This window comes from Homo sapiens, chromosome X (assembly GCF_000001405.40).
Source record: "Homo sapiens chromosome X, GRCh38.p14 Primary Assembly".
NCBI classification, from domain to species: Eukaryota; Metazoa; Chordata; class Mammalia; order Primates; family Hominidae; genus Homo; species Homo sapiens.
This window is the reverse complement of record NC_000023.11, coordinates 21,411,980-21,439,813: the sequence shown is the minus strand read 5'-3', so window position 1 is coordinate 21,439,813 and position 27,834 is coordinate 21,411,980. Positions and strand designations below refer to the sequence as shown.

Sequence of the window (27,834 nt, the reverse complement as noted above, 5' to 3'; positions counted from 1 at the left end):
GAGCCTGCAGATTTTTTCCACACCCTGAGGCGTTTCTAGGTAATATTCACTTTCTTCAATAGTTATGGGATTATTCAGAGTATCTATTTCATTTTGGGTTGTTTTAGTACCGTTTCTCAAGGAATTGGACCATTTCATCTGAGCTGCCAAATTTATATGTGAAGTTATCTGTAATATTTGTTCATTAACCTTTACATTTTGATTGACTTCTCTATTGTTTTCAATTTTGCTAATTTCTGCTCTTATCATTAAGAGGATCTTATTGCTCCGTACTTATTTTGTTCTTATTTTTCTATTTTCTTGAGATGGGAACTTAAATGATTGATTTGAGATCTTTTCTGATATAAAGCATTCAGTGCTTCTGATATATTTACTATATATATTTCTGATATATTTTGAATATATATATTTCTGATATATATAAGCATTCAGTGCTATACACTTCCTTTTCAGCACTGCTTTAGCTGTGTGCCACAAATTATGATTTGGTCTTTTTTCATTCTGTTCAATGTATTACTTTTTATTTTCCATGAGACTTGACCGTTGGATTACTTATAAGTGTGCTGTATGAGTTACCAGTTTCATTTTATTATCTGATTTCAATTCTTTTAAACTTGTTGAATTTTGTTTTATGATACAGATATGGTCTATCTTGGTGAATGTTCAATGGGTACTTGAAAAGAATTTTTATTCTCCTGTTGTTGGATGAAGTGCTCTAAAAATGTCAAAACATCCTGTTCTTAGGTGGTGGTGCTCAGCTCTTCTAATCTTACTTTCTGTTTAATTTTATCTATTCTTGAGAAAGAGGAAATGAAGTCTACAACTGTGGATTTGTCTACTTCCTCTTTCATTCTGTCAGTTTTTGCTCATGCACTTTAAAGCTCTGTTGTTTGATATACACATTTTACCAGTGATTTCTGTTTCTTCTTTTTTGATTTACCTACTTATATACTCATCTGTTACGTTTTGGTGGGCTTTGTTTTTTATCAATATGAATATTCACATATGTTAATATATGAATATTACACATTACACATTAACCCTCTGCTTTTCATATCTGTTTGTTGCAAATATTTTTCCCAGCTTGTCTTCTGTCTTATACTTTATTACGTTTTTCTTTTTTATGTAGTCAACAGTACATTCCTTTGTATTTTATTCCATTTTAAAAATACTTAGAAAGTCTTTCCACATCTAGAAATCATTTTTGCCTATATTTTTTCTAGTTTTCTTGTAAATTTATATTTTCTTCTTAGATATCTGATATATCTAAAATTTATTTTAGTGAAGAAAAATAGATAGTGCTCTATCATTATTTATTTTCCAAAGGCTTAACCAAGCGCCCCACTACAATTTATTAAATGGCCCTTTCTTTTTCTAGTGGTTTTAACATATTGTTTTCTAAATGATTCTATATACGGTCATGTGCTGCATAAAATGACGTTTTGGTCAACAACAGACCGCATATACCACAATGGTCCCATAAGATTATAATACTGTATTCTTACTGTACCTTTTCTGGGTTTAGATATGGAACAAATACTTACCATTCTGTTACAATTGCCTATAGTATTCAGTACAGTCACATGCTGTACAGGTTTCTAGCCTAGGAGCAACAGGCTATACCATATAGTTTAGGTGTGTAGTAGGCTGTATCATCTAGGTTATGTAAGCACACTCTATGATGTTTGCACAACAACAAAATTGCCAATCCTTATCATTAGCAATGCATGACTACACCACAGTGTATTATAGGCTCTCTTTCATGAACTTATCTATTCCTACTCCTAAACCCAGTATATTTTTTCAAGATAATTTACTTAAATAAAAGGAGACATAAGAATTTAAAAAACTGAATTAGAAAAAAATGTGATTAATCAAAATTGTCAGTTAAAAAAAATTAACCTCTTTAGTTGTAAGCAGAAACCAACTGTTAAAAATCCATCCTGATGGAAGTTTTCTAACACTGGATTGTAAAGGTGGTTGTATTAGGTGTTATCAAAATTTACTAAAACCCATCAAACTGTATACTTAAAATAGGTTAATTTATAGAATATAAATTAGGCCTCAATAAAAATATTTTTAATGAAAAATATAAGCACTTCTAGGAGAATATCATTAATTTAAAAAAATTACTTTGGGAGGCCGAGGCAGGTGGATCACGAGGTCAGGAGTTCAAGACCAGCCTGGCCAAGATGGTGAAACCCCGTCTCTTCTAAAAATACAAAAATTAGCTAGGCATGGTGACGGGTGCCTGTAATCCCAGCTACTCAGGAGACTGAGGCAGGAGAATCGCTTGAACCTGGGCAGCAGAGGTTGCAGTGAGCCGAGATCACGCCACTGCACTCTAGGCTGGGCGACAGAGTGAGACTGTCTCAAAAAAAAAAAAAAAAAAAACTACATAGAGACCATTTTTGCTGCATTGAAGCATAAAAACTGGCATTTTAAACTAAGAATTCAAAAGTGCTTCTGGCATGATTAGAAAAGAGTTTCGATTCCTAGGTTTGAAAAGGTCAGAGTCTGTTTATAAAATCTTAAAATTTCATTAAGAAGTGATGAGGTGATGCACAGCATGTTTGTTTTGTTTTGTTTTGTTTTACCATAACTACTTAAAAGAATCTCACTTGATGTTCAAATATAGAAAAGAAAAAATCTATTTGATCACTAAATGCCTATAGCAAACTGAATTCCAAGGCATGTCTTCCACTTTCCTGACCATTCATATTTTAAGTAGGACAAGCTTTTCACTCAAGATTAAATTTCAAGAAAAAATGAAAAGAAAAATCTAAACACATACCAAGGAAAACAGATTTTATTTTGTAGTGATTTAGAATTACCCTAAAGTTTTTATCTTAGAGGCAAATCATATACAACTGTACTAACAGCCATTCTTAGCCAGCAGATTTTAAGGTTTGGTATGATGATTTGGGCTGTATCTACATATAAATAAGGGTAAAAGGTCAGGTGGGGCTCCAATCTTTGTGGGTTACCAAAGATTATCACTCAGTCATGACTTAATGATCATCTATGAGAGTAAAAACGATAGATCTCTGTAGAATAACTGAACATGATCAGCATGCATGCACATACACACACACACAAAAACAAAAACAAAAATAAAGAAACTGTTCTTAAGTCTGAAGAAATCCTCAAGTAGAGTTCAGGGTACTTACAAGAAGAACACAATAACTCTAATTAAAGGAAATTAAATTCATAGCAAGAAAGCTTTTTGATGCCAGAAAGAGAAAAAAAGATAAAATCCTTGGATCATCGATAAGTGGCTGTTACAGGAATTATCCTATTTAAATCTTAAAAATTAAGCGACTGTACTCCTTAAATCATCATATAGATAATACGATGCTTATATTTCTCTCTGGTGCAAAAGTTTAAGACCCTATAAGAAATTATTCTTTGTACATTATATCTAAACAAAAGTATTACATTTATAAAAAGGTTATTAACGATTCAGAAATCCTAAACAAATTAGAAACTAATAAGGAAAGCTAAGAGGTTAATAAGGAAAATCTGGAATGCCTTACTATTTCTCAGGTTGGCACTGCTGAAACCTTAGGGTAGTCTGTGAATAATGGTAGTGCTAATGTCACTGCTCTTCCCTTGAATAATTAGTGCTAAGTGAGAAACAATGAGCACATGAGAGAAAATAAGACCAAACAATGGATCACATTATCTGGTAGCGTTTGATGTGGTTTTCTTGGTCTCTGTAATATTTTTCCTGGTATAAAATTAATTTGTCCTTTAGTTTCTTATCATGGAAGAAGAAATTAGTTTAACAATTTTCTTACATAAGACAAAAAATTTCAGAGAAATCTTAACAAAAATTCCCTAGTACCTTAAACTCTTATGCCTTAAATATGTAAAAGGTTTTCAATGATATCAAGAGATCTCACTGATCCCATCAAAACAGGATGACCTTAAAAAGGTATTTTATAAACTCTCAGAATTGGGTATTACTGGTAAAAATGAAGGAAAAAAACTTTTACTATGAAAGGCAAAATAAACTTTGTTTAATAATAATTTTGAACATTTTTACTAATGTTACTGTACAACGTAACACTTGTAGTGATCTGTAAACTTCTGAGTATAGATCGATTTGGCAAAGCCACAGAAAACTGCAAGAAATATGAGGTGTCAAAAACAGTAGGATGTAGGTTAAAAACAGACAAGTAAACCATGCATTGAAAATAAACAGTAAAGCTACCAACTGTGATTCACCTCTGAGACTATTCCTCTGGGAAAGTCTGGTGTTTCACTGAAATCAATATTTTAAATAGGAGAAAAAATGGAATTGTGTTAACCTTAGATTTTATCTTATTTAGGAAATGTAAGGAGCTGGTCTTTGAACGTGTATCTCATTTAAATGGAAGCTCCATTGAAACTGGAGTTTTTGTGAGTCATAAATATTATTTTCCTAGCACACTATTACGCCCTAAACATTTAAAGGTTTTGCAATGTTATCAAAAATATTTCAATGATCCCTTTAAAATAGAATAATCTTGAAAGGTATTTTAGAAACAATTAGAATTAAATATTAATGTTAAAAATGAGAGAAAATAGTAAACTTTTACCATAAACAGTGAAATAAACATTTTCTATAAATGAAGTTCTATGTAGCAATTTCAGATACTGAGGCCCAAAACAGAAAAGTGGTAGTCTTATTTAGCTTTTGAAGAGAAATAGCAAAATGTAAATAAAGGTTTATATGCCATATCCCTTCCTCAAAATCCTCAAGAATTAGTCAGCATTCAAAACGAGGTGTAGCATGATAAAGGAACATGAAGGAAAAAATAACAGGACTTCAATGTCAGACAAAAATAAATTCAAAGTATAACTTTCATACTAGATGAATGACTTTAGGCAAGTTATTTCACATTTCATATGTAAAATGGAGATAACAATATCTGCTCTGTGAGAATTCAATGAGCTGAGAGTATATATACTTATGTATAAAGCATCTAGTTCAGCATCTAGAATAAAATTAAAGATTTTTTTTAACCTATTCTTTCTTTTTCTTTCTCCTCTTTCAAGTGACATAAAATAAAAACTGTAATAAACCCAAAACATATTGCTGTGGATACACGTTTTCTCCAAAATGTAATAAAAATTTTGTAATGCCATAAAACTTATAGCTGTTTAAAAATGAAAACAGGTGCTTATAACATCAAATTAATCCTATTTAACTGACAAAATTTTTATTCTTCATCTAAAGTATTGTATATTGAAGGAATAAACTAAAGTTAAAGATCAAATGCTTGGCAGTATTCATTTGCAGGGTTCATTTTAAATCCCTCAAATTAAAGCAAATCTGCACTGACACACTGGGTGTGTTTTTATGTGCTTTTGTAGGTGTGCATGCACATATGTGTTTTGTAGGTGATTTGGCACTTACCAAAAGCATTTTATTACATAATGAAAGTAATACCACCATAAAAAATTGATACGATAAAATCTCAAGGACTACTATAGTGTGGGAAATGTGCGATTTTATAAATAGCCATATCTGTCATCAAGAAGTAAAAACATTTTCTATTCACTCTAACAGTTTATCTATCCATCTAACAAATACTAGGGTAAAAAATATATAAATGAATTTACTAAATGCAGATATCAAGGCTGAGCAAATTTATAATTATAGGGAAAATGAGAGTAAAAGAAGATACAATTATAATCAAGGATGTGTTCTTTAAGCCTTCTGATTACTGTAAAGCCTACCAAAACAAATGTATTATATTAATAGTACTTAAGGACTAAGCCATATTTTACTTACTGACCATTCATAACTTTTGGAATGTATATATTTAAAATTCAATTAATTTAAACACTTGATAATGTGGCTTAGACAATTATGAAAATTAAATTTTAATAATGTTATAATGCAAAATAAACATGTAGTCCATTAATTAATTATCAAAAAGCTAGTAATATATAGTTTAGTGTTTCATATTTGGATTTAGTATCATCACTTTATATTATGTATAAGTATATATAAAATTAGACAATATAAAATTAAGGAAAATTATCTCAATTTTCACCTTAAAAATACAAAAGCTTTACTTTTAATATAAGGCCTCATGTTTTTAAAATGCCAAAATGTAATACTGGCGTGTGTGTGTGTGTGTGTGTGTGTGTGTGTGTGTGTGTGTGTAGGAACACATATGAATATCCTACTGACAATTATTCAAGAAAGAATTCTGGTAATGTATATTATCAGAGTTTCTTATGAAAGACAAAGAGCATTTTTAAAATTTGATTATTAAGCCATTAAACATAGTACATACCCCTTACCAAAAATTCCAAAACTGAAAGTAGAGAATTTGTTTAGTTTTTTAATAAACAGTTGTAATGTGTTTTATCATGATAATGTTTAACCACATACAGTATATAATTTAAATCTAACATTTTCATTTCATATTACAAGACTTTTATACTATTTTATGTGTTCCAAAACAAATGAAAGTCAACTAAACTTAAAAAAGTCTAAAAGTGTGTTTATGATATCCAAAATAGTACAATGTAATTAATAACAGAGAATGAATGAAGCGAGGCCAAGGAGACATACAAGGCATGCTATGAAGGTGTCAGTGTCTAATTACCTATTTAAAACAGTTTATAGAATCCCAATGGTCATTTCCTTAAGTACAACCAATTAATATGAATAAAGAACATCAGGACACAAAGCAGTATTATAATAAACAAAAATTTATAAATTTTATTATGACAGCCAAATAATGATTTTGCTTATAAAGCAGCAAGGTATTTTACAGTTGTCAGACTAATTATTGATTGGCTACTTAGTTGGACATCAAATTTTATAAAAGACTAATATCTATTTAATACCCCTATATTGTGGTAAATCATCATTAGACATTTATTACTTGGTACTCCTCTGCCTGTCCAATCCTTTCACAACAAAATGCAAAATAATGTTATATTCAAACTGGTGTCTGAGGAGAGGATACTTATGAAACATGCGGAAGACTTTACCTGTCCAACCAGGCAAGCAGACTCTTGGCTGCTCCAATCAGATCCACAACTGAGGTCAGAAAGTCGTTTGGCAATTTTCGGCTGGTCCTCCCATCATAATGGCCACTCCTTCTCCTTCCTGTTATAAAATTCTGCAGATTTTTGGCAGATGCATTCAACTTGTGAGAAAGGGTTTTTAGATTTTCTGTTTCCAAGCCATAATTCTGAATTATAAAAAAGAGAGAGAATATATTTAAAGTCAGTTTTATTCATTCATGAAAATATTTACTGAATACTTTATTATGCACAGGCAATGGGGTAGCATTCGAGTTACAAATGAATAAGATAGGATTCCTGACCTAGCGGAGCCCACAGTTAAGTGACTATTTGGGAAGATGTCATATAAAGAAATTATAATAAAATGTGTTAAGTACTAATATGAACATGGAAAGATAAGGGCATTGTATCTTAGAACTATGCTACCCAAGAAAGCAAGATTGTAAGAAATAATAAATTTGTTTTTTAAAACCAAAACCTAAGTTTATTTACTTGTGAAATTAATTATTATCAACAATTATTTTTGAGTAGATATTCTATTAACAATACACATGGTCAGGAATGTAGGTACTAGGGATAATTCTGCTTCCCCAAAGTTAGGAAAATAAACACAACCAACAATAATAAAATGAAAAAGCAAGAAATAAATCAGGTAAATAAATCAGATAAAAAAATACGTACTCTACATAATGATGTATAAGAAGTTTCTTTTATAATATGGTATCAGGAAAAACTCTGCTTCCTCAGGGGAACTAATATACTTTCTCCTTTTTGTAATACAAATTATGAAACTAAAATTATTTTTGTTTTTGTCCTGGCTGTATTAGCTCACAACTAAATATGAAGCACACCAAAAGCAATCACAGTGACTTTTTGGTAAGTGTATTTGTTTTCTTCTTTTCTTTGTTCTCACATTTCAACTAATATTTGTTAATTCATCCTAAATATCTTATCTATTATACTTTATAGCAGAAACGGGTTATATGAATAAGTGTAATAAGCCTTTTTACTATCTTCAAATAGAAAAAGATTGTAGGATCCCTTCAAACTTTGGGGAAAGTTTTCAAAAGTTACAATTAAAATGTAAAGCAGCTAATTGTGTGTTGTAAAACACCCCTTAAAAAGGCTGGTTAATATTATCCAAGGATAACCTTGATTAAAACACTTAGCAGCATGCACATTACTGTTGTGTGTAAAGTTAAAGTTATTACCACCTTACTTAAAATGGCAAAACCCAAAGAATGTAAGAATTTGCTTGGGCCTGGGAGGCTAAGTTTGACTTACCTTTTCACAGTTGGGGAAACTGAGGTATGGGAAGATTTCTTTTTTAACAGTTTGCTTAAAAAACTCTGTACTTGGACTAGACAGAGTTCAGAATGGAACTACAAGTCACCAGGCCATCTGTGAGCGGATATGTCTACCACATTCCTTAGCACCAATATTCTACTCCTATTCTCAGAAACATGGTAACAATAATTAAGTCAAAGTGGAAGATGAAGGGTGAAAAAGGAAAGTAAGCCATACAATGAATTAAGCTATGTTATTAAGTCAACAATCACTGGGTACCTACTTTGTATATAACATTTAGGTGTCTTTTTTTCCTATGACAATTTAAGACAAGAGAAAACTTAGTGGAGACAAAATGAGGGGAGAGGAAGGTTTTGATGCCTAAACATTAAATACCAAGTTATGTATGTTACCACTACAGATTTAATCGTGATAAAAGTCTGCTTGTCTTTTGCTGGGAATTTACATATTTATTAAAAGAACACTTTCTTCTAAAGTTATAAATTTGTTTTCTAAAATAACATAGTATTAATATGTTAAATATTCACTGCTTAATTTGAACTGTAATATTCTTCTCTCATGTTAAAAGATTTGCTTGGGCAAATAAAACAACATTCTATTCAAATTCTATTGCATTTAAGAATGGATTATTTGTGAAATGTGGGAGAGTTTGTCCAGCCGGTCACTACAGTATGAAAGAAATCCTCTTATGTTTATAAAAGATGCTCTCTAATGACTAGATAAGAACAATTTATAACTATACAAACTAACTGTAAATGATATTTCTTCTGTAAATGTAATTGTAAATGAAAATACTGAAAAGCAAAGTATTTTCAGAAGTTTTCCCTGTGTTAAAGCATTTTTCTAAAGTAAAAAATGATTGTATTTTTCATTTTTGTGTATAAATGAGTTTAATAAGAAAACATTTGTTTGCCAACAAATTATAGTAATCTCTTAGAGAAGTTCAAATTATAACAATTTATTAGCGAGAAACCTACTCAACTTGGTAACTGATATTTCACTCTGTAGCTATTAGCCTCCATAAAAGATTATTTTAAATTGTTTATCTCTATATAACACTAGCATCTCAAATGATTTATTAGGAAAGGTAAAATAATATTAATCTTCTTATAAGTAAAAATCCAAAGGCAAAGTAAAAATATTCCAGAGTCTTCAAAATTTAAGAAACTAAAATTATTATTTTTCATATGACTCAAGAATTAGGGAATATAATAATCATCCGGACAAAACCTGGAAGGATACTCTCAGAGGTTCTAACTTGGAAACCTCCTAAAAATATATTACGCAGAATAGAGGTGAAAAATGTAGAGGACAGAGAAATGCAGAGGAAAAAAGAATCTTTAAAAGATATGTAGCAGAGGATGGGGAAGGAAATTGTTAAAACTTGCTCTAGTTAATGAACATAACTACACTGATAATCTAAAAACATGTTTTAAAAATTTAGAAGAGTATAATAGGTAAGAAGCTCATCTGTATGTAACCAGATTTATGTGCTACTATTTTAACAAAAGAGATTAATTGATCTCTCAAGTTAACTTTTTAATTTTTAAAATTTATTTTATTTTATTTTTTTGATACAGGGTCTCGTTCTGTCACCCAGGATGGAGTGCAGTGGCATTATCACAGCTCACTGCAGCCTGGACTTCCTGGGTTCAAGCGATCCTTCCACCTCAGCCTTCTAAGTACCTGGTACTACAGGTGTATGCCAGCACACCTGGCTAATTTTTAAATTTTTTGTAGAGATGTGGTCTTGCTACATTGCCCAGGCTGGTCTTGAACTCCTAGGCTCAAGTGATCTGCCCTCCTCAGGCTCCCAAAGTGCTGGAATTACAGGCATGCCACCATGCCCAGCCTCAGGTTAATTTTTATAATTACAATTCTCAATTACTACCAATACAGATACCTTCTGGCTATTTCTTTCATGTAAGTGGATGGTTTGTTGTGACATGGTAAGTCACCAGTAAATCACACACCCTTACCTACCATTTAAAGAACTGACAAGTATATCAAGCACCTTTTGTGTTAGGCCAGGGGTACGGAGGGCACTGCCTCAACTTTTTAAAAATGCAGGTTTATTCACCACAGATTTGCTTTTTATTGGATATGCATAGCAAAACTTGGTATTACTATTAGTATAAAAAGGACTACCTCAAGAAAACAAAAACTTATACATGAAATGTACTTAGCTGCTGTGTTTGTCATATATGTTACTTATTTGTTCATATACTTGGCCATTACCATGTGCCAGAACCAGTAATGACTTAGAACTGATTCAACACAGCCATTTAAGTCTTAATGAATTTATGCTAAGTTCATATCAGCCTTCTCTTTCAATCATATGCATGCAAAAGCATTTGAAAGAAATAAAGAAATGTATTTAACATTTTAGAAAAATAAGGTCAGCTATATCCTCACTAGTGGCAAATTTTCACTAACCACTTAACTAGAAATACTTAATATTGGCAACAACAGATTTTACAATGTCAATGCCATTTTATTCAGAGTTCTTAATTTGAATGCATCGTGTAGCACCTTTTTAGCTTTATAATACATTGCTTTATAAATATGAGTGAGTCCTAAAAGGCTTGCTTTAATGAATTTTTTTGGAAAATAAATTATTTTAAGATGAATGAACCAAGCAATTATGTTGCAAAGAAACAAATCCCAGCAATTGCAAACATCAAATCTTTCATGCAAAATGCCTGAAATTATAAGTACATGAAAAATGAAATGAAAACTGTTCTTATCCTGTCATAAATGATTTATTTACAGTTCCTAATAAAAAGTGTATTGTCAGAACACAAATTAAGGACCATACGTTAAGCTATATATATATTTTTATTTACATTTTTACTCTTTCAGTTAATATCTTTGCTCTCTATTAAAGCATACTAAATTATAGCTTAATAGCTTGAAATATTATTACACCTCCAAATCATGAACAGCTTACTTCTTTCTAGAATAACATGATGCAAACAATATATCTGATGCTTAATAAATATATGTTGCATGAATAAACAAGTGACTAAATAAACCTTTGATTCTCATCAGCTGCCATAAACATTTATTCACATAAGGAATAACTTCAAGACAAGGTAGACGAAAATATAGTATAGCTTAAAGAAACAAAAGGAATCTGCTAATTTTTCTATGTCTTCCTTTATATGAGGAACAGAAACTTCAAAGTCAAAGGCTATGCAGGTAAGAGAAAAATTATGCTTCTCTGAAGAAAGACAGAGAGTTTAATTCAGTAAGATAACATTAATTTAGCATCTTTTATGAGCTAAGCACTGGGCAGAAAGCTGAATAAAAAATATGAACTAAACAAAGATGTCTTCCTTTGAGGAGCCCAACATGAATTAAAGGATAAAAGAACCTAAGCAAAGAATTGTAATACAAGGTGTTAAGTTCCCTTTTTTCCCATCACTTCCCATTCTGCACAAGCTAAATGAAAATTCTCAATTTTCTCTGAATATTCCATATTCTTTCACAATTCTGTCTTTACACATGATATTTCTTCTGCCTAGATAACTTTTCTCCAACTTTTTGTCTGGCAAACATCTCATCATCCTGCAAGACCAAATGCATATCTTACCTACACTTCCTGAATCCCTCAGAAGTGTTCATTTCCTTCTACACTCCCCTGGAATTTTCTTTAAATCTATGTTGTCTTCTGATGGCTATTGTCTTTCTTAATGGACTGTATATGTTTCAGGAGTACAGACTGTCTTTTTCATCTTTGCATTCCCCGTGATAGCACTGTTTGAGCATGAATATGTAATTGTTGAAAAAGAAATGAATACAGTAGACATAAGGAAAATGTAGAAAGGCCAGTAAAGATCAGAGAGACAAGACTTAGCAGGGTAAACGGAAATTCAAAGAGTAGTTGGGGATAGAGGGGAAGGAGGTAAAGATATAGTCCCAATAGCACAACTTCCTGGACTAGTCAACTCAGCTTGTTGATAAGGAATCTCACCTCCTGATTTCATAATGGTATGTAGAAGAAAATTAGAATTCACTACCCAGAAATTTGCTTTATATTCCCCAGAAAGCATCTGTTGCATAAACTGAAATACATCTGTACTTCTGACTTGTTGATGTATATCCACTACATTAGGAAGGGGTAAGAAGGAAGTTTAACATTTGACCTCTTTGGGGACTGCGACTAAGGAATTGCTGAATAAACAGAAAAAAAAATGGTGTTTAAATTTATTTTCCGCATTAACTTCCAGAAGAGCTCAATCACATAATGAACTATCCAAATGACATGACTTAAACCTGGTGCTTAAACCCAGAACTGTACAGGGATTAAAGCTCAGCATCAGAAAGGATTCACCACAGCTACATGGTTCAAACTTAGAAGTGGTCTAGACATCTATTTCTGATGCCATCCTTTTAAGTAGGTTTAGGTCGGCAGAGCCTTGTTCATGGGTCAAACTTCAAACGTCTAGACTGTATGTATGTAACACTGTCAATCAATATTCTTTCCTTTCTCAACTGGCAGTGTGAGAGCCTAGCACATGAGTGGTTCATCTATGAAGAGCCCTGCTTATGAGACATACACTCTGGACTTAAGGTTCTGATATACCCAAGTCTTACTGTTATAAAAGATGTTACAAACAGGGAACTGTTATTTGGCACTAATATAATAAATTTAAGGAAGGAAGAAAATATCAGGTCCAGCTGGTTGAGAATCAGAGTTTTTTTCTTCTATTTGCATTTCGATTATCAAAAGAGGAGAAGAAAAAAGGGAAAAGCAACAAAAGAAGAAAAAGAGAAGTTTCCCTCTTCACCAGTTTTATGTCCTTACCAATGCACACAGAAGGTCAACTGCTTCCAAGATCAGTTCCTGATGGCCAATGCGGCTGACCCCCAGATCTTCTAGCTCCTGATGTGTAATGCGCAGCAGCTGGTCCCCACTGATCTTCTCCCTCTCAAAGTTCTTAATATACTGCTGCAAACAGTCATCAAGACCTACAAAATAAAAGTATGAAAGACCAGAATGAAAACATGGTCAAACCAAATAAATGTGAAGGGTGGGTTAGAAGCAAGCATTAATGCTACCATGTCACAAATTAAGTCCATTTTAACTCTGAACTAGCCAAATCCTTCGCCCTTTCTTAACCTACATATGGGCTACAGTGAAAAAGAAAATCACTTCATCATACTCGTAGTTGTTAGGTACCTAGTTGAATTTTCCTCAGCACGTACTGGAAATCTTTATCTTTCTTCTGTGCAGTTCTCCTTGCTGACTATTTCATAAAGTATGCCAACAGGCAGGTTCCCCTATTTTCAAATTTATCTGCATCAAATTCTTACTTTCTTACTTAAACTCCACTTCAGAGGAAGAGGTATCCTTCCTATTTAAAGCTAATCTATCTTTCTGTACTCTGTAGTCCCATCTTCTGCCACCTTAACACAACTTCAATAACTAAAAAATTAAATTCTCTCTTTGTTTCAACTATTGCCTATTGACTCATTCTATGTTCAAATCTCTGCCATCTTAAAATAAAACACAAAATCCTTTATTTGATTTTGTTGATCATGTGTGCTCCCCACTAGTCTGTCACCCTCTTTGGATTCAAGCCCTTACCCTTATTTCCTCACCTGTGATGCGCTCCTTAATCCATTATCATTTGGATTTTACTCAAATCCAAAAGTAGAAATCAGGATTACCCAGGGCAATTCATAAGTGATTGGCTAGGCTATAGATTGAGGCGGTTTCAATCACCTGTGAAGTGGCCTGATACAAATGATGAACTGGACTAATAAAACTAACGCTCTAGAAATTTAAGTAAAGAATACCAAGAAAATAAGGCAATTAGCTGAAACTAAGAGGTCCTCATTATGTCAAGGAGGGAGACCAGAGGCTATAAGGGGCTACATTCCAGCTGAAGTTATGGAGGAGCAGAAATTATAAGAGAATAGAAAAAACAGAGATGAAATTAGAAAAGATGTGCAAAAGGAAGTCAAGTTTCCAAACAGAGAGATTATGTAGCCATTGAGAAAGAAAATGAGTCAGTCCTAAAAGCAGTGTGATTCCTGACAGGGTCTAGTATAAGGCCACAGATGTCTTTACTATAGTCTCAAAATTCCTTAAAGTAACTAGAATTACTTTGTAGCCTCCCTATACAATCTTCTTTTTCTTTCATTCTCCATTAGTATGTGTATACTGATGAGGGCTGAAATGTTCTCACTGGATATAGCAATGTGAAAGTCACTAGTGATATTCCTGAGAGTTGTTTTCACAGTGATGGCAATAAGCCAGCATCGAATGGGTTGAGGAGTCTTCAAAGCAGTCAGGCTACGTAAGAGAAGAGAAAAATAAGAGGATATCTAGAGAATATGGGATTGAGAGAGAGAGTCTGTTTTTCTTTCTTAAAGATGTTAGAGACTTGAAGATATTTAAATGTGGATAAGAACTGTATATCTCTATTGAAAAAGGAGGGAAGGAGGAGAAGATGGGTGTAGATGCAGGTAGATTTATAGCCTGTGAGTAAGATGAGGGACTCCCTGCCTAATAACTATAAGACAACATTATGGATCTGTGTGAGAGTTCACTGAGTTATTTGTAAATAAAATAAACATGTAAATTGATACTATTACAAATATGTGCTGAATATCTAAATGGAGTTGGTAGTAATTACAGTGTCACAGAGCTAAACAGGATTTATATTTTAAAAGGAAGACTCTAAAGTCAGGAACAAGGGGAAAAATGAAGGAATTATTTGTCAGACACTGCTGTGAACGCTGGAGATAAAAGGGTAAATAAGACACAGACCTCAAGGAATGCAGTACTTGTATTAGGTATTATTTGTAACCTAGAGATGACTTAAAGTATACAAGAGGATTTCATAGATTATATCCAAATACCATACTATTTTATATAAGGGACATGAGCATTTGCAGAGTTTGGTATCTGTGGGGGTTCCTGGAACCAATCTCCCTCAACTGTATAGGGTGAAAGGTATAGTGGTCCATACAACTTGAGGGTTGGCCAGACAAAGGGGCATCTAAGAATGAAAACAAAAATGGATCAGAGAGGACAAGGTAATAATAAGAAAGGCACGACAGACAAGTGTTAAATGCAACACAGCATTCTAGTAAGATAAGGACTAAAGCACTCTGAGAATTAAGAGATTATCAATGATTTTAGCCAGAACAGTATTAGAATAAGGCAAAGAGAAGCCAGACAGACTACGGGATTGAGCAGTGACTGGGAAATGAGAAAGTGAAGGCCTTGCATGTAGAATATTCCTTTAGAAGATTACAGGATAATGGTGAGGATGGGAAGTAAACAGAAAGATGCCAAGTCGTGTCAAAGAGACTGCTGTTATACCAATTTCAGAAGTGAAGAAATTAAAGCTCAGTGAGATTAGGTAATTCTCTAAGTGTACACAGTAAGTAACTCACAGGCAAACCAATAATTAAAACCTGGTCCCAGAGGATCCAAAATCAAACCTAATTCGACTATATCGGACCATCTCAAGACTGAAAAAACACATCTCAACAATAAAGTGGATTCATACCCTTGCAAAAATAAATGGGTAAAGAGAGATAGAAACATACAGTTATTAAAATGAAAAAGAATAACATACAACAGTGGCTAATGAAATCACACTCTTCTAGACCTACCAGAAAAAAAAAATTAAAACTACCAAGGACTAAAGTCCATGCTAGCATACTCTTGATGAATTCAATACTGTGTAGAGTACCCAGATGGCATTCAATCTGAAGTGGCATTTGAATGAATGAAAGGGGAAACATTGCAAATAGTTTTTAGATACCAATATAATACATGTTGACCTGAGAAACCCCTGTTCTTTATGTTCTTCAAAGGCATCCTTAACAGTCGTCCTCCTACAAGCAAGCAGTCGCTCTATAACAAGTAGCATATGATTTGTTTTCACAAGGATTCTCAAGAAAACCAAATAAAATTTTAAAAGGAAGGATAATTTTCTTCTGGGACTGTTCTCATTTACTCTGTCCTAACTTATTTTGAAAAAGGCTACACTTTCAATAGTTTTATATCAATTCTATATAGAAGAATTGATGCTGAATAATAGTAATACCTTCTATTATTTATGAACTGTATATCATTATCTTGATTTTACAGATAAGAAAATTTAAATTTAGGGACCATGCCTGGGATCCAACAGCTTATAAATGGTAAGGCAAGGTCTAAACCCAAGTCCATTTGCCTCTAAATCCATGCTCTTAAAGACTATGCAGAATTAGGAGTGAGGGAGGAACGGAAAGGATGGTTTCCAAACCTCTAGACTGTTTGTTTGTACCATACCAAAAGTCATTATACCAAAAATGTTTTTCTATTTTCCATTAAAACTTTAAGGTCTTTGTTTAATATATATTTATTTAAATTATGCTTTGCATCAAAAGGCATTTAAGTATATTGTTTACACACACACAATTCAGGAGGGCAATACAAATTCAAAGTAGATGAGGAAAATATGGTTAGTCATAAAGTGGGAGCCAGAATAATGAAAATATAAAAAATTCATACAAATGAAAAACATTAATAGTTTAAAACATTCATTAGATAACAGCAAGCCAGTTTCTCGGAGAAGCCCATCCAGTCTTTTCTTAAATTGATACATAATAACTGTATATACTTATGAGATACATGTGATATTCTGATACATTATACAAAGTATAATGATAAAAACAGGGTAATTGGAATATCCATCACCTCAAACATGCCCATCCATTTTTGACACTAAAGTCAGCAAAAAGGATTTCTTGTGGGAAGAAATCCTTGTGTAATGTAATAAACAACACCTTCAATAAACTCTTTTGATAAACACAACTATAAGTTCCCATTAGACTGTTTCTTACAGCAAGGCTGAAAATACATTTAAAAAAATTACATTGTATTGTAGACCAAATAATAACTGGTTATCATGAAGATAGAAACATGTTTATCTTTGCTGACTTTAAGGATGTTACAGTCTATCAACAGGGTTTATAATTCCAGGGAGAAAATAAGTACATAAGTGAAAACAGGCCCCCACAGTAGGAAAGAGCATCAGGGGCAGGGATGTGCAGGGGGAGAAGACCAGGAAGAGATTGACAGCTGAGGCCAAGATTTAGCCATGGTGAAGGTTAGGAAATTTCTTGAAGGCACAGGAAAGAAGGTCCAGGGTGACTGAGGGAAACCCATGCAGTAGCTGCTGATCCTGCTGGACCTATGGCTGGGCACCATGGGATTAGGCGGGGCTGAGCTCCTAAAGGCCTAGCAGCAGGGCCTGCAGGTACCCTGGGGAAATTCCATAAGCATCCACTTATGCAGTGAGCCTTCAGGGAGACCAATATGAGCAGTGCTATGGATACACTCTCCCCAGCAGGGAACTTTGTGGGGCTAGAATTTAAGCTCCAGTATATAAATTTCTGCAAGAAGAATCCTGAGTGCAAAGTCAAGTCCAGTGGAAAGAAGCAGAAATGCCTGGCCTACATCAAACTTGAGGATGAAGTTTTGGGCCAGATGGTCCATTGCCCCATACAGATGCAGGATTGACAGGAGCCTGAAAAGCACCAGGAGATCCAGTGCAGTAGAGTGGAGCAAGGTAGCCATGACCCTCACAGCTACTACTTCCCTGGACAATTTGCCTTCTTTTCAAGGCCCTGCTCCCCAGCACAGAACCCTGGACTGAATTTTATCATGCTCCCCAGACAGCTGCACGTGGTAACCAGTGGAATACCCTGCCCTCCTAGTGATGATCCCATTATATCCCAAGCTAATAAAACTACTCTCCAAAAAACAAAGAAAAAAATAAATATAAAATAAAAAAAAGATTACCATAGAATTCAGCAATTCCACTTCAGGCTACATACCCAAACAAAATGAAAGCAGATATTTGAAGAGATAGTTGTACACCTATGTTCATAAAAGCATTATTCACAATAGGCGAGAGGTGGAAGCAACCCAAGTGTCCACTGATGTATAAGTAGATAAAGAAAATGTTGGAGGAGGTGGAGCAAGATGGTAGAACAGAAGGCTCCACCAATTGCCTTCCCTAGCCCCCCGCAAGGACACCAATTTAATAATTATCTACACAAAAAAGCACCCTCATAGGAACCAAACATCAGGTGAGCACTCACAGTACCCAGTTTTAACTTCGCATCACTGAAAAAGGCACTGAAAACCTTAAAAAAAAAAAAAAAAAAACCATCTTAAATCAGTGATGCCACACCTTCCTGAAGCCCAGGCAGTGGTAGCGTGGTGACTAGAGTGTTTCTTTGTGCTGGAGGGAGAGCACAGCAATTGTGAGGCATTGAACTTGCTGCTGTCCTGATAGAGCAGAAAGGAAAACAAGACCAAACTCAGCTGATGCCCACCCACAGAGGGAGCATTTAAACCAGCCCTAGCCAGAGCGGAATCATCAATCCTGGCAGTTGGAACCTGAGTTCCCACAAACCTGGACACCATGGGCTAAAGTGCTATGAGGATTTAAATAAATAAACTTGAAACACAGTCTAGGCCACAAGGACTGCAAATCCTAGGAGAGTTCTAATGCTGAACAGGGCCCAGAGACAGTGGATAGGGGTGACACACAACATACTAAAACACCAGCCAGGGTGGCCAAGAGAGTGCTGGTATTATCTCTTCCCTAACCCCAGGCTTTACAGCTCATGGCTCCAAAAGAGACTCCTTCCTTCCGCTTGAGGAGAAAACAGGGAAAACTTTATCTTGCATCTTGGATACTAGCTTAGCCATGGCAGGATAGGGCACTGGTCAGAGTCATGAGGGCCCCTTTCCAGGCCCAAGCTCCTGGATGACATTCCTAGACATACCCTGGTCCAGAAGGGAATGACCCCATCCTGGCACCATTCATCACCAGCTAACTGAAGAGCCCTTGGGCCCTGAAAAAGCAGCAATGATACCCAAGTACTAAATCAAGGGCCCTGTGTGAGACTGTGAGACTTGTTGGCTTCAGGTGAGACCCAGCACATCTGGAGCTGCGGTTGACTACGGGGCACAATTCCTTCTGCTTCAAAAAAGCAGAAGAAAAAGGAAAGGGGACTTTGTCTTGTACCTTAGGTACCAGCTCATGCATAGGGGGCTAGAGAACAAAGCAGGTTCTTGGGGTCCACAATTCTAGGACTTGGCTCTTGGATGGATGGCATTTCTGGACCTGCCCTGGGCCAGAGGGGAGCCCACTGTCCTTGAAGGGTGAGGCCCAGGCCAGGCAGCATTCGCTACAAGCTGATTGAAGAGACCTCAGGCCTTAAGGAAACAGCAGTGGTAGTTTGGCACTACTTACCATGGTTTTGTGGTGACAGTGGCCATGGGGTGGGGATCCTCTGCCTTTGGAAAGGGGAGAGAAGAGTGGGAAGAACTACATCTTGTGGTTTGAGTGTCAGATCAGCCACAGTACAACAGAACACCAGGTGCACTTCTAAGGTTTTAAATGCTAGTCCCTGGCTCCCAGACAGCACCTCTGGACCCACCCAGGGCCTGGGGGAAATTGCTGCCCTGAAGGGAAGAACACAAGCCCACTGGCTTTGGCATTTGCTGACTGTAGAGCCTCAGGGTCTTGAGAGAACATAAGCAGTAGCCAGGGAGGGGTTAAAGCAGGACTTGAGCAAGATGTAGTGCTGTGTTGGCTTCAGGTATGACCCAGCACAGTCATGGTGGTGGTGGCCACAAGGGTGCTTGTCTCACTCCACCCACAGCTTCAGGTGGCTCACAACAGAGTGAGAGACTGTTTATTTGGGAGACAGTAAGGGAAGAGAACAAAAGTCTCTGCCAGGTAATCCAGAGAATTATCCCAGATCTTGTCCAAGATCATCAAGGAGGCCTCTATGAGTCTGTAAGAAGCACAGCATCACCGGGCTTGGGGTGCTCCCTGAGGCAGATACAGCTTAGATCATAACACCTAAGTCCTTTTGAATATCTGGAATGCCTTCCCAAGAAGGATGGGTACAAACAAGTCTTGGCTGCAAAAACTCTAATAAATTCCTAACTTTTCAATGCCCAGCAACAGATAAACATCTACAAGTATTAGGACAATTCAGGAAAACATAACCTCATCAAATGAACGAAATAAGGCACCAGGTACCAATCCTGGAAAAACAAAAGATATGTGACATTTCAGGTAGAGAATTCAAAATAGCTATTTTGAGGAAACTTAAAGAAATTTCAAGATAACACAGAGAAGGAATTCAGAATTCTATCAGATAAATTTAACAAAGAGATTGAAATAATCTAAAAGAATCAAGCAGAAATACTGGAGCTGAAAAATGCAATTGTCATACTGAAAAATGCATCAGAGTCTTTTAACAGCAGATTTGGTCAAGCAGAACAAAGAATTCGTGAGCTTGAAGACTGGCTATTTGAAAATGCACAGTCAGAAGAGATTAAAACAAGAATAAAAAACAATTAACCATGCCTACAGGCACCTCAAAAGGGAATATATAAGAGTTATTGCCCTTAATCAGGAGGTAGAGGAAAAAGTCAGGGGTAGAAGGTTTATTGAAAGGAATAATAACAGAGAACTTCCCAAACCTAGAGAAATACATCGATACCTAAGTACAAGAAGGTTATAGAACAGCAAGCAGATTTAACCCAAAGACAATATTAGATAAATTTAACAAAGAGATTGAAATAATTTAAAAGAATCAAGCAGAAATACTGGAGCTGAAAAACACAATTGTCATACTGAAAAATGCATCAGAGTCTTTTAACAGGGATTATTAAATGCCTTGACTACCTCAAGTCCAAAAGTCAAGGATAAAGGATCCTCAAAGCAACAAGAGAACACAAACAAACAACATACAATGGAGCTCCAATAGATCTGATGACAGAGTTTTCGGTGGAAAACTTATAGGCCAGCAGAGAGTGGCATGACATATTTAAAGTGATGAAGGAAAAAACTTTTACCCTAGAAGAGTATAAACAGCAAAAATATTCTTCAAACATGAGGGAGAAATAAAGACTTTTCCAAACAAAAGCTGTGGAATTTCCTCAACATGAGACCTGTCCTGCAAGAAATGCTAAAGGAAGTACTTCAATCAGAAAGAAAAGGACATTTATGAGCAATAACTAGTCATCTAAAGGTAAAAAACTTACTGGCAATAGTAACCACACAAAAAAAACACAGAATATTATACCAACACTGTAATTGTGGCGTGTAAATTCCTTTTATCCTAAGCAGAAAGACTAAACAATGAACCAATCAAAAATAATAACTACAACAGCTTTTCAAGACATAGACAGTACAATAAGATCTAAATAGAAACAACAAAAAGTTAAATAGTGGGAGTATGAAGTTGAGGCATAGAGTTTTTATTACTTTTCTTTTTGCTTGTTTGTTTGTTAGTGCAAACAGTGTTAAGTTCTCATCAGCTTAAAATAATGGTTATTAAGATAGTATTTGCAAGGCTCATGGGAACCTCAAACCAAGAAACTAAATCATTTCAACAGAGAAAATCACTTTCACTAAAAGGAAGATAGAACAGAAAGAAAGAAAGAAGGAAGAGACCATAAAACAACCAGAAAACAAATAACAAAATGGCAGGAGGAAGTCTTTACTTATCAACAGTAACACTGAATACAAATGGACTAAACTCTCCAATAAAAAGTCATAGAGTGGCTGCATAAATTTAAAAACAAAACAAAACAAAACACAGTGATTTGTTGCCTATAAGAAACTTCACCTATAAAGACACACATAGACTGAAAGTAAAGGAATGGAAAAGATATTCCAAGCCAATGGAAACCCAAAAAGAGCAGGAGTAGCTATACTCATATCAGGAAAAATAGATTTCAAGACAAAATCTATAAAAAGAGGCAAAATAATAGAATGATAAAGGGGCCAATTCAACAAGAGAATTTCAAATATATATGCAAACAGCACTGGAGAACTCAAATATATAAAGCAAATATCAAATGAAGCTAAAGAGAGAGAGAACCCCCAATATAATAATAGCTGGAGACTTCAACACCCCACTTTCAGCATTTGACAGATATTCCAGACAGAAATTAACCAAGAAACGTTGGAGTTTATCTACACTATAGAACAAATGGACCTAACAGACATGTATAGAATATTTCATCCAAAGACTGCAGAATACGCATTCTTTTCCTCAGCAAATGGATCATTCTCAAAGACAGACCATGTTAGGTTACAAAACAAGCCTTAAAACATTCAAAAAAACTAAAATCCTCTCAAGCATCTTCTCTGACTACAAAAGAATAAAACTAGAAATTGATGACAAGAGGAATTTTGGAAACTACACGAATACATGAAAATTGAACAATACATTTCCAAATGACAAGTGGATCAATGAAGAAATTAGGAAGGAAATTGAAAACTTTCTTGAAACAAATGATAATGAAAACACAACATACAAAAACCTATGGGATATAGCAAAAGCAGTACTAAGAGGGAAATTTATAGTTATATGTGCTTACCTCAAAAAAGAAGAAAAACTTCAAATAAACAACCTAACAATGCATCTTAAAGAGCTAGAAAAGAGAGCAAACCAAAACCAAAATACTGGAAGAGATAATAAAGATAAGACCATAGACAAATGAAATTGAAATGAAGCAACACAAAAGAGCAATAAAACAAAAAATTCGCATTTTGAAAAGTTAAAGTTGACAAACCTTTGGCTAGACTAAGAAAATAAGAAAGACGACCCAAATAAATAAAATCAGAGGTAAAAACGGACACATTACACTTGATACTGCAGAAATTCAAAGGATCATTAGTGGCTACTATGAGAAACTACATGCTGATAAACTGGAAAATCTTGAAGAAATGAGCAAATTTCTAGACAAAAACAACCTACCAAGATTGAACCATAAAGAAATCCAAAACTTGAATAGGCCAATAACAAGTAAGGAGATTGAAGCCATAATAAAAAGTCTCACAGTAAAGAAAAGCCTGGGAGCTAATGGCTTCACAGGTGAACTCTACCAAATATTTAAAGGAGAACTAATACCAATCTGACCCAAACTATTCTGAAAAATAGAAGAGAATACTGCCAAACTCATTACATGAGGCAAGTATTACCCTGATACCAAAACCAAAGACACATTGAAAAAAGAAAACTACAGGCCAATATATCTGATGAATATTGATGCAAAAAACCTCAACAAAATACTAGCAACTGAATACAGTAATATTACTTTAAAACGATCATTCATCATGACCAAGTATTTATCCCTGGGATGCAAGACTTGTTCAACATATGCAAATCAATCAATGTGGTACATCGTATCTACAGAATAACGAACAAAAACCATCTGATCATTTCATTTGATGCTGAAAAAGCATTTAATAAAATTCAACATCACTTCATGATAAAAACCCCCAAAAAACTGAGTATAGAAGGAACATACCTTAACATAATAAATGCCATATATGGCAGTCCCACAGCTAGTATCATAATGAATAGGGAAAAACTGAAAGCCTTTCCTTCAAGATCTGGAACACGACAAAGATGCCCACTGCCACCACTGTTATTCAACATAGTACTGGAAGTCCTAGCTAGAGCAGCCAGGCAAGAGAAATAAATAAATGGCATCCAAATTGGAAAGGAAGAAGTCAAATTATTCTTCATATATATATATATATGTGTGTGTGTGTGTGTGTGTGTGTGTGTGTGTGTGTGTATATATGTATATATGTATTGTATATATGTATATACATATCATATATATATAATACTTTAAGTTCTAGGGTACATGTGCACAACGTGCAGGTTTGTTACATATGTATACATGTGCCATGTTGGTGTGCTGCACCCATTAACTCGTCATTTACATTAGGTATATCTCCTAATGCTATCCCTCCCCCCTCCCCCCACCCCACAACAGGCCCTGGTGTGTGATGTTCCCCTTCCTGTGTTCGGAAACCATCATTCTCAGCAAACTATCACAAGGACAAAAAACCAAACACCGCATGTTCTCACTCATAGGTGGGAATTGAACAATGAGAAGTCAAATTATTCTTATTTGCTGATGAGATGATCTTATATTTAGAAAAACCTAAAGAATCCACAAAAGAACTATTAGAAGTGATAAATTCAGTAAAGTTACAGGATACAAAATTAACACACAAAAATCAGTAGCATTTCTACATGCCAACAGTCAACAACCTGAAAGAGAAAATAAAGTAATTTAATTTATAATAGCCCCACATAAAGTTAAACACCTAGGAATCAACTTAACCAAAGAAGTGAAAGATCTCTACAATGAAAACTATAAAACACTGATGCAAGAAATGGAAGAAACCACCAAAAAATGGAAAGATATTTCATGTTCATGGATTGGAAGAATGAATATTTTTTAAAATGTCCATATTACTCAAAGCAATCTACAGATTCAATGCAATCCCTATCAAAATACCAATGACATTCTTCACAGAAATAGAAAAAAGACCATCCTAAAATGTATATGGAATCACAAAAGACCCAGAATAGCCAAAGCTATCCTAAGCAAAAAGAACACAACTGGAGGAATCACAGAACTGACTTCAAATTATACTACTGAGGTATAGTAAACAAGACAGCATGGTGCTGGCATAAAAAGAGACACAGAGACCAGTGGAACAGAACAGAGTACACAGAAAAAAATCCACACACCCACAGTGCACTCATTTTCGACAAAAGTGCCAAGGACATACACTGGAGAAGGCCAGTCTCTTTAATAAATGGTTATGGGAAAACTGGATATCCATGGGCAGAAGAAAGAAACTAGATCTGTATCTCCTGCTATATACAAAATTCAAAATTGATTAAAGACTTAAAGACCTCAAACTATGAAACTACTACCAGAAAACATTGCAGAAGCTCTCCAGGACACTGGTCTTGGCAAAGATTTCTTGAGTAATACCCCACAATCACAGGCAACCAAAGCAAAAATGAACAAATGGGGTCCTTTGCTTCTGCACAGCAAAGGAAACAGTCAACAAAGTGAAGAGACAACCCACAAAATGGGAGAACATATTTGCAAGCTACCCACCTGACAAGGGATTAACAACCAGAATATGTAAGGAGCTCAAACAACTCCATAGGAAAAAAAAAAATCTAATAATCTGGTTAAAAATGGGCAAAAGATTTGAATAGGCAGTTCTCAAAAGACATACAAACGGCCATAAGGTATATGAAAAGGTATGCAGCGTCACTGACCATCACAGAAATGCAAAGAAAAACTACAATGAGATAGCATCTCACCCCAGTTAAAATGGCTTATATCCAAAAGACAAGCAGTAACAAATCCTGGTGAGGATGTGGAGAAAAGGCAACCCTCGTATACTGTTGGTGGGAATGTAAATTAGTACAACCACTATGGAGAATAGTTTAGTGGTTCCTCAAAAAACTAAAAACAGAGCTGCCACATGATCCAGCAATCCTACTGCTGGGTATACACCCCAAAGAAAGGAAATCAGGATATCAGTAAGATATCTGCACTGGGTCCCAGAAGACCCAGTGGCTATTCTGGGTCTTTCGTGGTTCCATATGCATTTTAGGATTTTTTTTTTCTATTTCTGTGAAGAATGTCATTGGTATTTTGATAGGGATTTGTTGCAGTTCTGCAGTTTGTTGCAGTTCTGTTCACAATAGCCAAGATCTTGAAGCAACTTGTGTCCATCAACAGGTGAATAAAGAAAATGTGGTACATATACACAATGGAGTAATATTCAGCCATAAAAAAGAATGAGATCCTGTCATTTGCAACGACATGGTTGGAACTGGAGATCATTATGTCAAGTGAAATAAGCTAGGCACAGAAAGACAAATATCAAATGTTCTCACTTATTTGTGGGATCTAAAAATTAAACAGAGTAGAAGGATGGTTACCAAAGGGAGGGAAGGCTAGTGGTGTGGGGAGGTGAGGGGAAGGTGGAGAAGGTTAATACTTACAAAAATATATTTAGAAAGAATGAATAAGTTCATTCTTTTTGACAGCAAATAGTAGAGTCACTCAGTCGACTGACTATAGTGAATAATTTAATTGTACATTTTAATATAACTAAAATAATATAGTTATATTGTTTGTAACACAAAGGATAAATGCTTGAGAGGATGGATACCCCATTCTCCATGATGTGATTATTTCACATTGCATGCCTGTATCAAAACATCTCATGTACCCCATATATACACACCTACTATGTACCCATAAAAATTAAAAATATTTTTTAAATGTTGTATACACATTTTAAAATGTGTATACATTTTTATTCAGCCTTAAAAAGAAAGTGCTGATACATGGTACTGCATGGATCAACCCTGAAGACATTATGCTAAGTGAAATAAGCCATTCACAAAAGGACAGATACTGTATGATTCCACTTATATGAGGCATGCAGTCGTCATGCAGTCGTCAAATTCAGAGACAGAAAGTAGAATGGGGCTGCCAGAGGCTGAGGGGAGGAATAATAGGGATTGTTGTTTAATGAGTAAAGAGTTTCAGTTTTGCAAGATGAAAAGAATTCTGTGAATGGATGCTGAGGTCAGTAGCACAAAAATGTGAATGTACTTAATGCCAGTGAACTGTACACTTAAAGATGGTTAAGATAGTACGTTTGATGATATGTGCATTTTACACTTAAAAATGCAATGGTTAAAATGGCAAATTTTATGTTATCTATATTTTACTATAATAAGAAGTACAAATTAACCAACAGATTAACCTTAAATAGCCTAAATTTGCTCCTTTCAAATTTTAATTAGACCTAAGCATTTTGGGAGGCATATGGGTATGTGAAAGCCACAGCTGTAAGTTACTATTTTACATCTGATTACGAATGCTATGTCCACCTATGTGTAATCAAACTTCACTAATAGATATACAATTTTCTTTTCTATTGAATACAAAGAAACCACTAGTGGCAATGATTTGCTAAATTTAGCATATTCTACATAGAAGTCATCAGTATGATGTCTTACCCAATCCTAATTCACCATGAAAAAATTGCCTAATCATGATGGGACTTAACACGGCTATCTTTTTAAATATTTCCATTTAATATCTAAGCAATATTGAGTGAGGACATGCTGAAAATTGTACACTAGAAATATCAAGGGAAAAAAGAATTTTGTATCTAAATGACATCTAGATGAATTTTAAAGTAATTCGTGTCATGAAGAATTAGTCAGTCATCTTTGCCAAGGTGCCAGGAGAAACTATCTTCTCCAAGGAGGACTTGCCCACGGGCAAGAGGAGACAGTCTTCCAGGTGGGAGGTAAGAGGAAGTGGTAATGAGAACAATGCTGGAGACTTGCCATTGTAAAGGGCAAACTTGTTGATCCAACTTTACTTCTGAGGACACGTCTAATCTTGGCTTATCTCAGTCCCAGGCTTCCCTAATGCTCCTGATATTTTTAGATTTAAACTAGGTTCCAAAGTCAATAACTGCCTGTTCTTTATTCTTCTACAACACAGACTTCTATATGATTTTCCTAAGGAATGCTTCCCTTCCTGTCCCTAGTATCAGGATGCTCATCTCACTGCTTTTCTAA

General features: G+C 34.8%; 1 protein-coding gene and 1 pseudogene across 8 annotated transcripts in view; one reads left to right on the top strand and one right to left on the bottom strand.

The window, feature by feature from the left end:
* Window positions 1-27,834, bottom strand: part of CNKSR2 (connector enhancer of kinase suppressor of Ras 2) — a 280,272-nt gene that overhangs the window by 214,876 nt on the left and 37,562 nt on the right. For all 8 annotated transcript variants that reach the window (NM_014927.5, NM_001168647.3, NM_001330770.2 and 5 more), the window contains exons 2-3: window positions 13,154-13,317; window positions 7,000-7,202 (exon numbers count right to left, since the gene is read on the bottom strand). In NM_014927.5, the coding sequence (NP_055742.2) occupies window positions 7,000-7,202; window positions 13,154-13,317 (367 nt within the window). The remainder of the gene's footprint in view (window positions 1-6,999; window positions 7,203-13,153; window positions 13,318-27,834) is intronic.
* RARRES2P3 (retinoic acid receptor responder 2 pseudogene 3) lies at window positions 17,520-17,992 on the top strand (annotated as a pseudogene).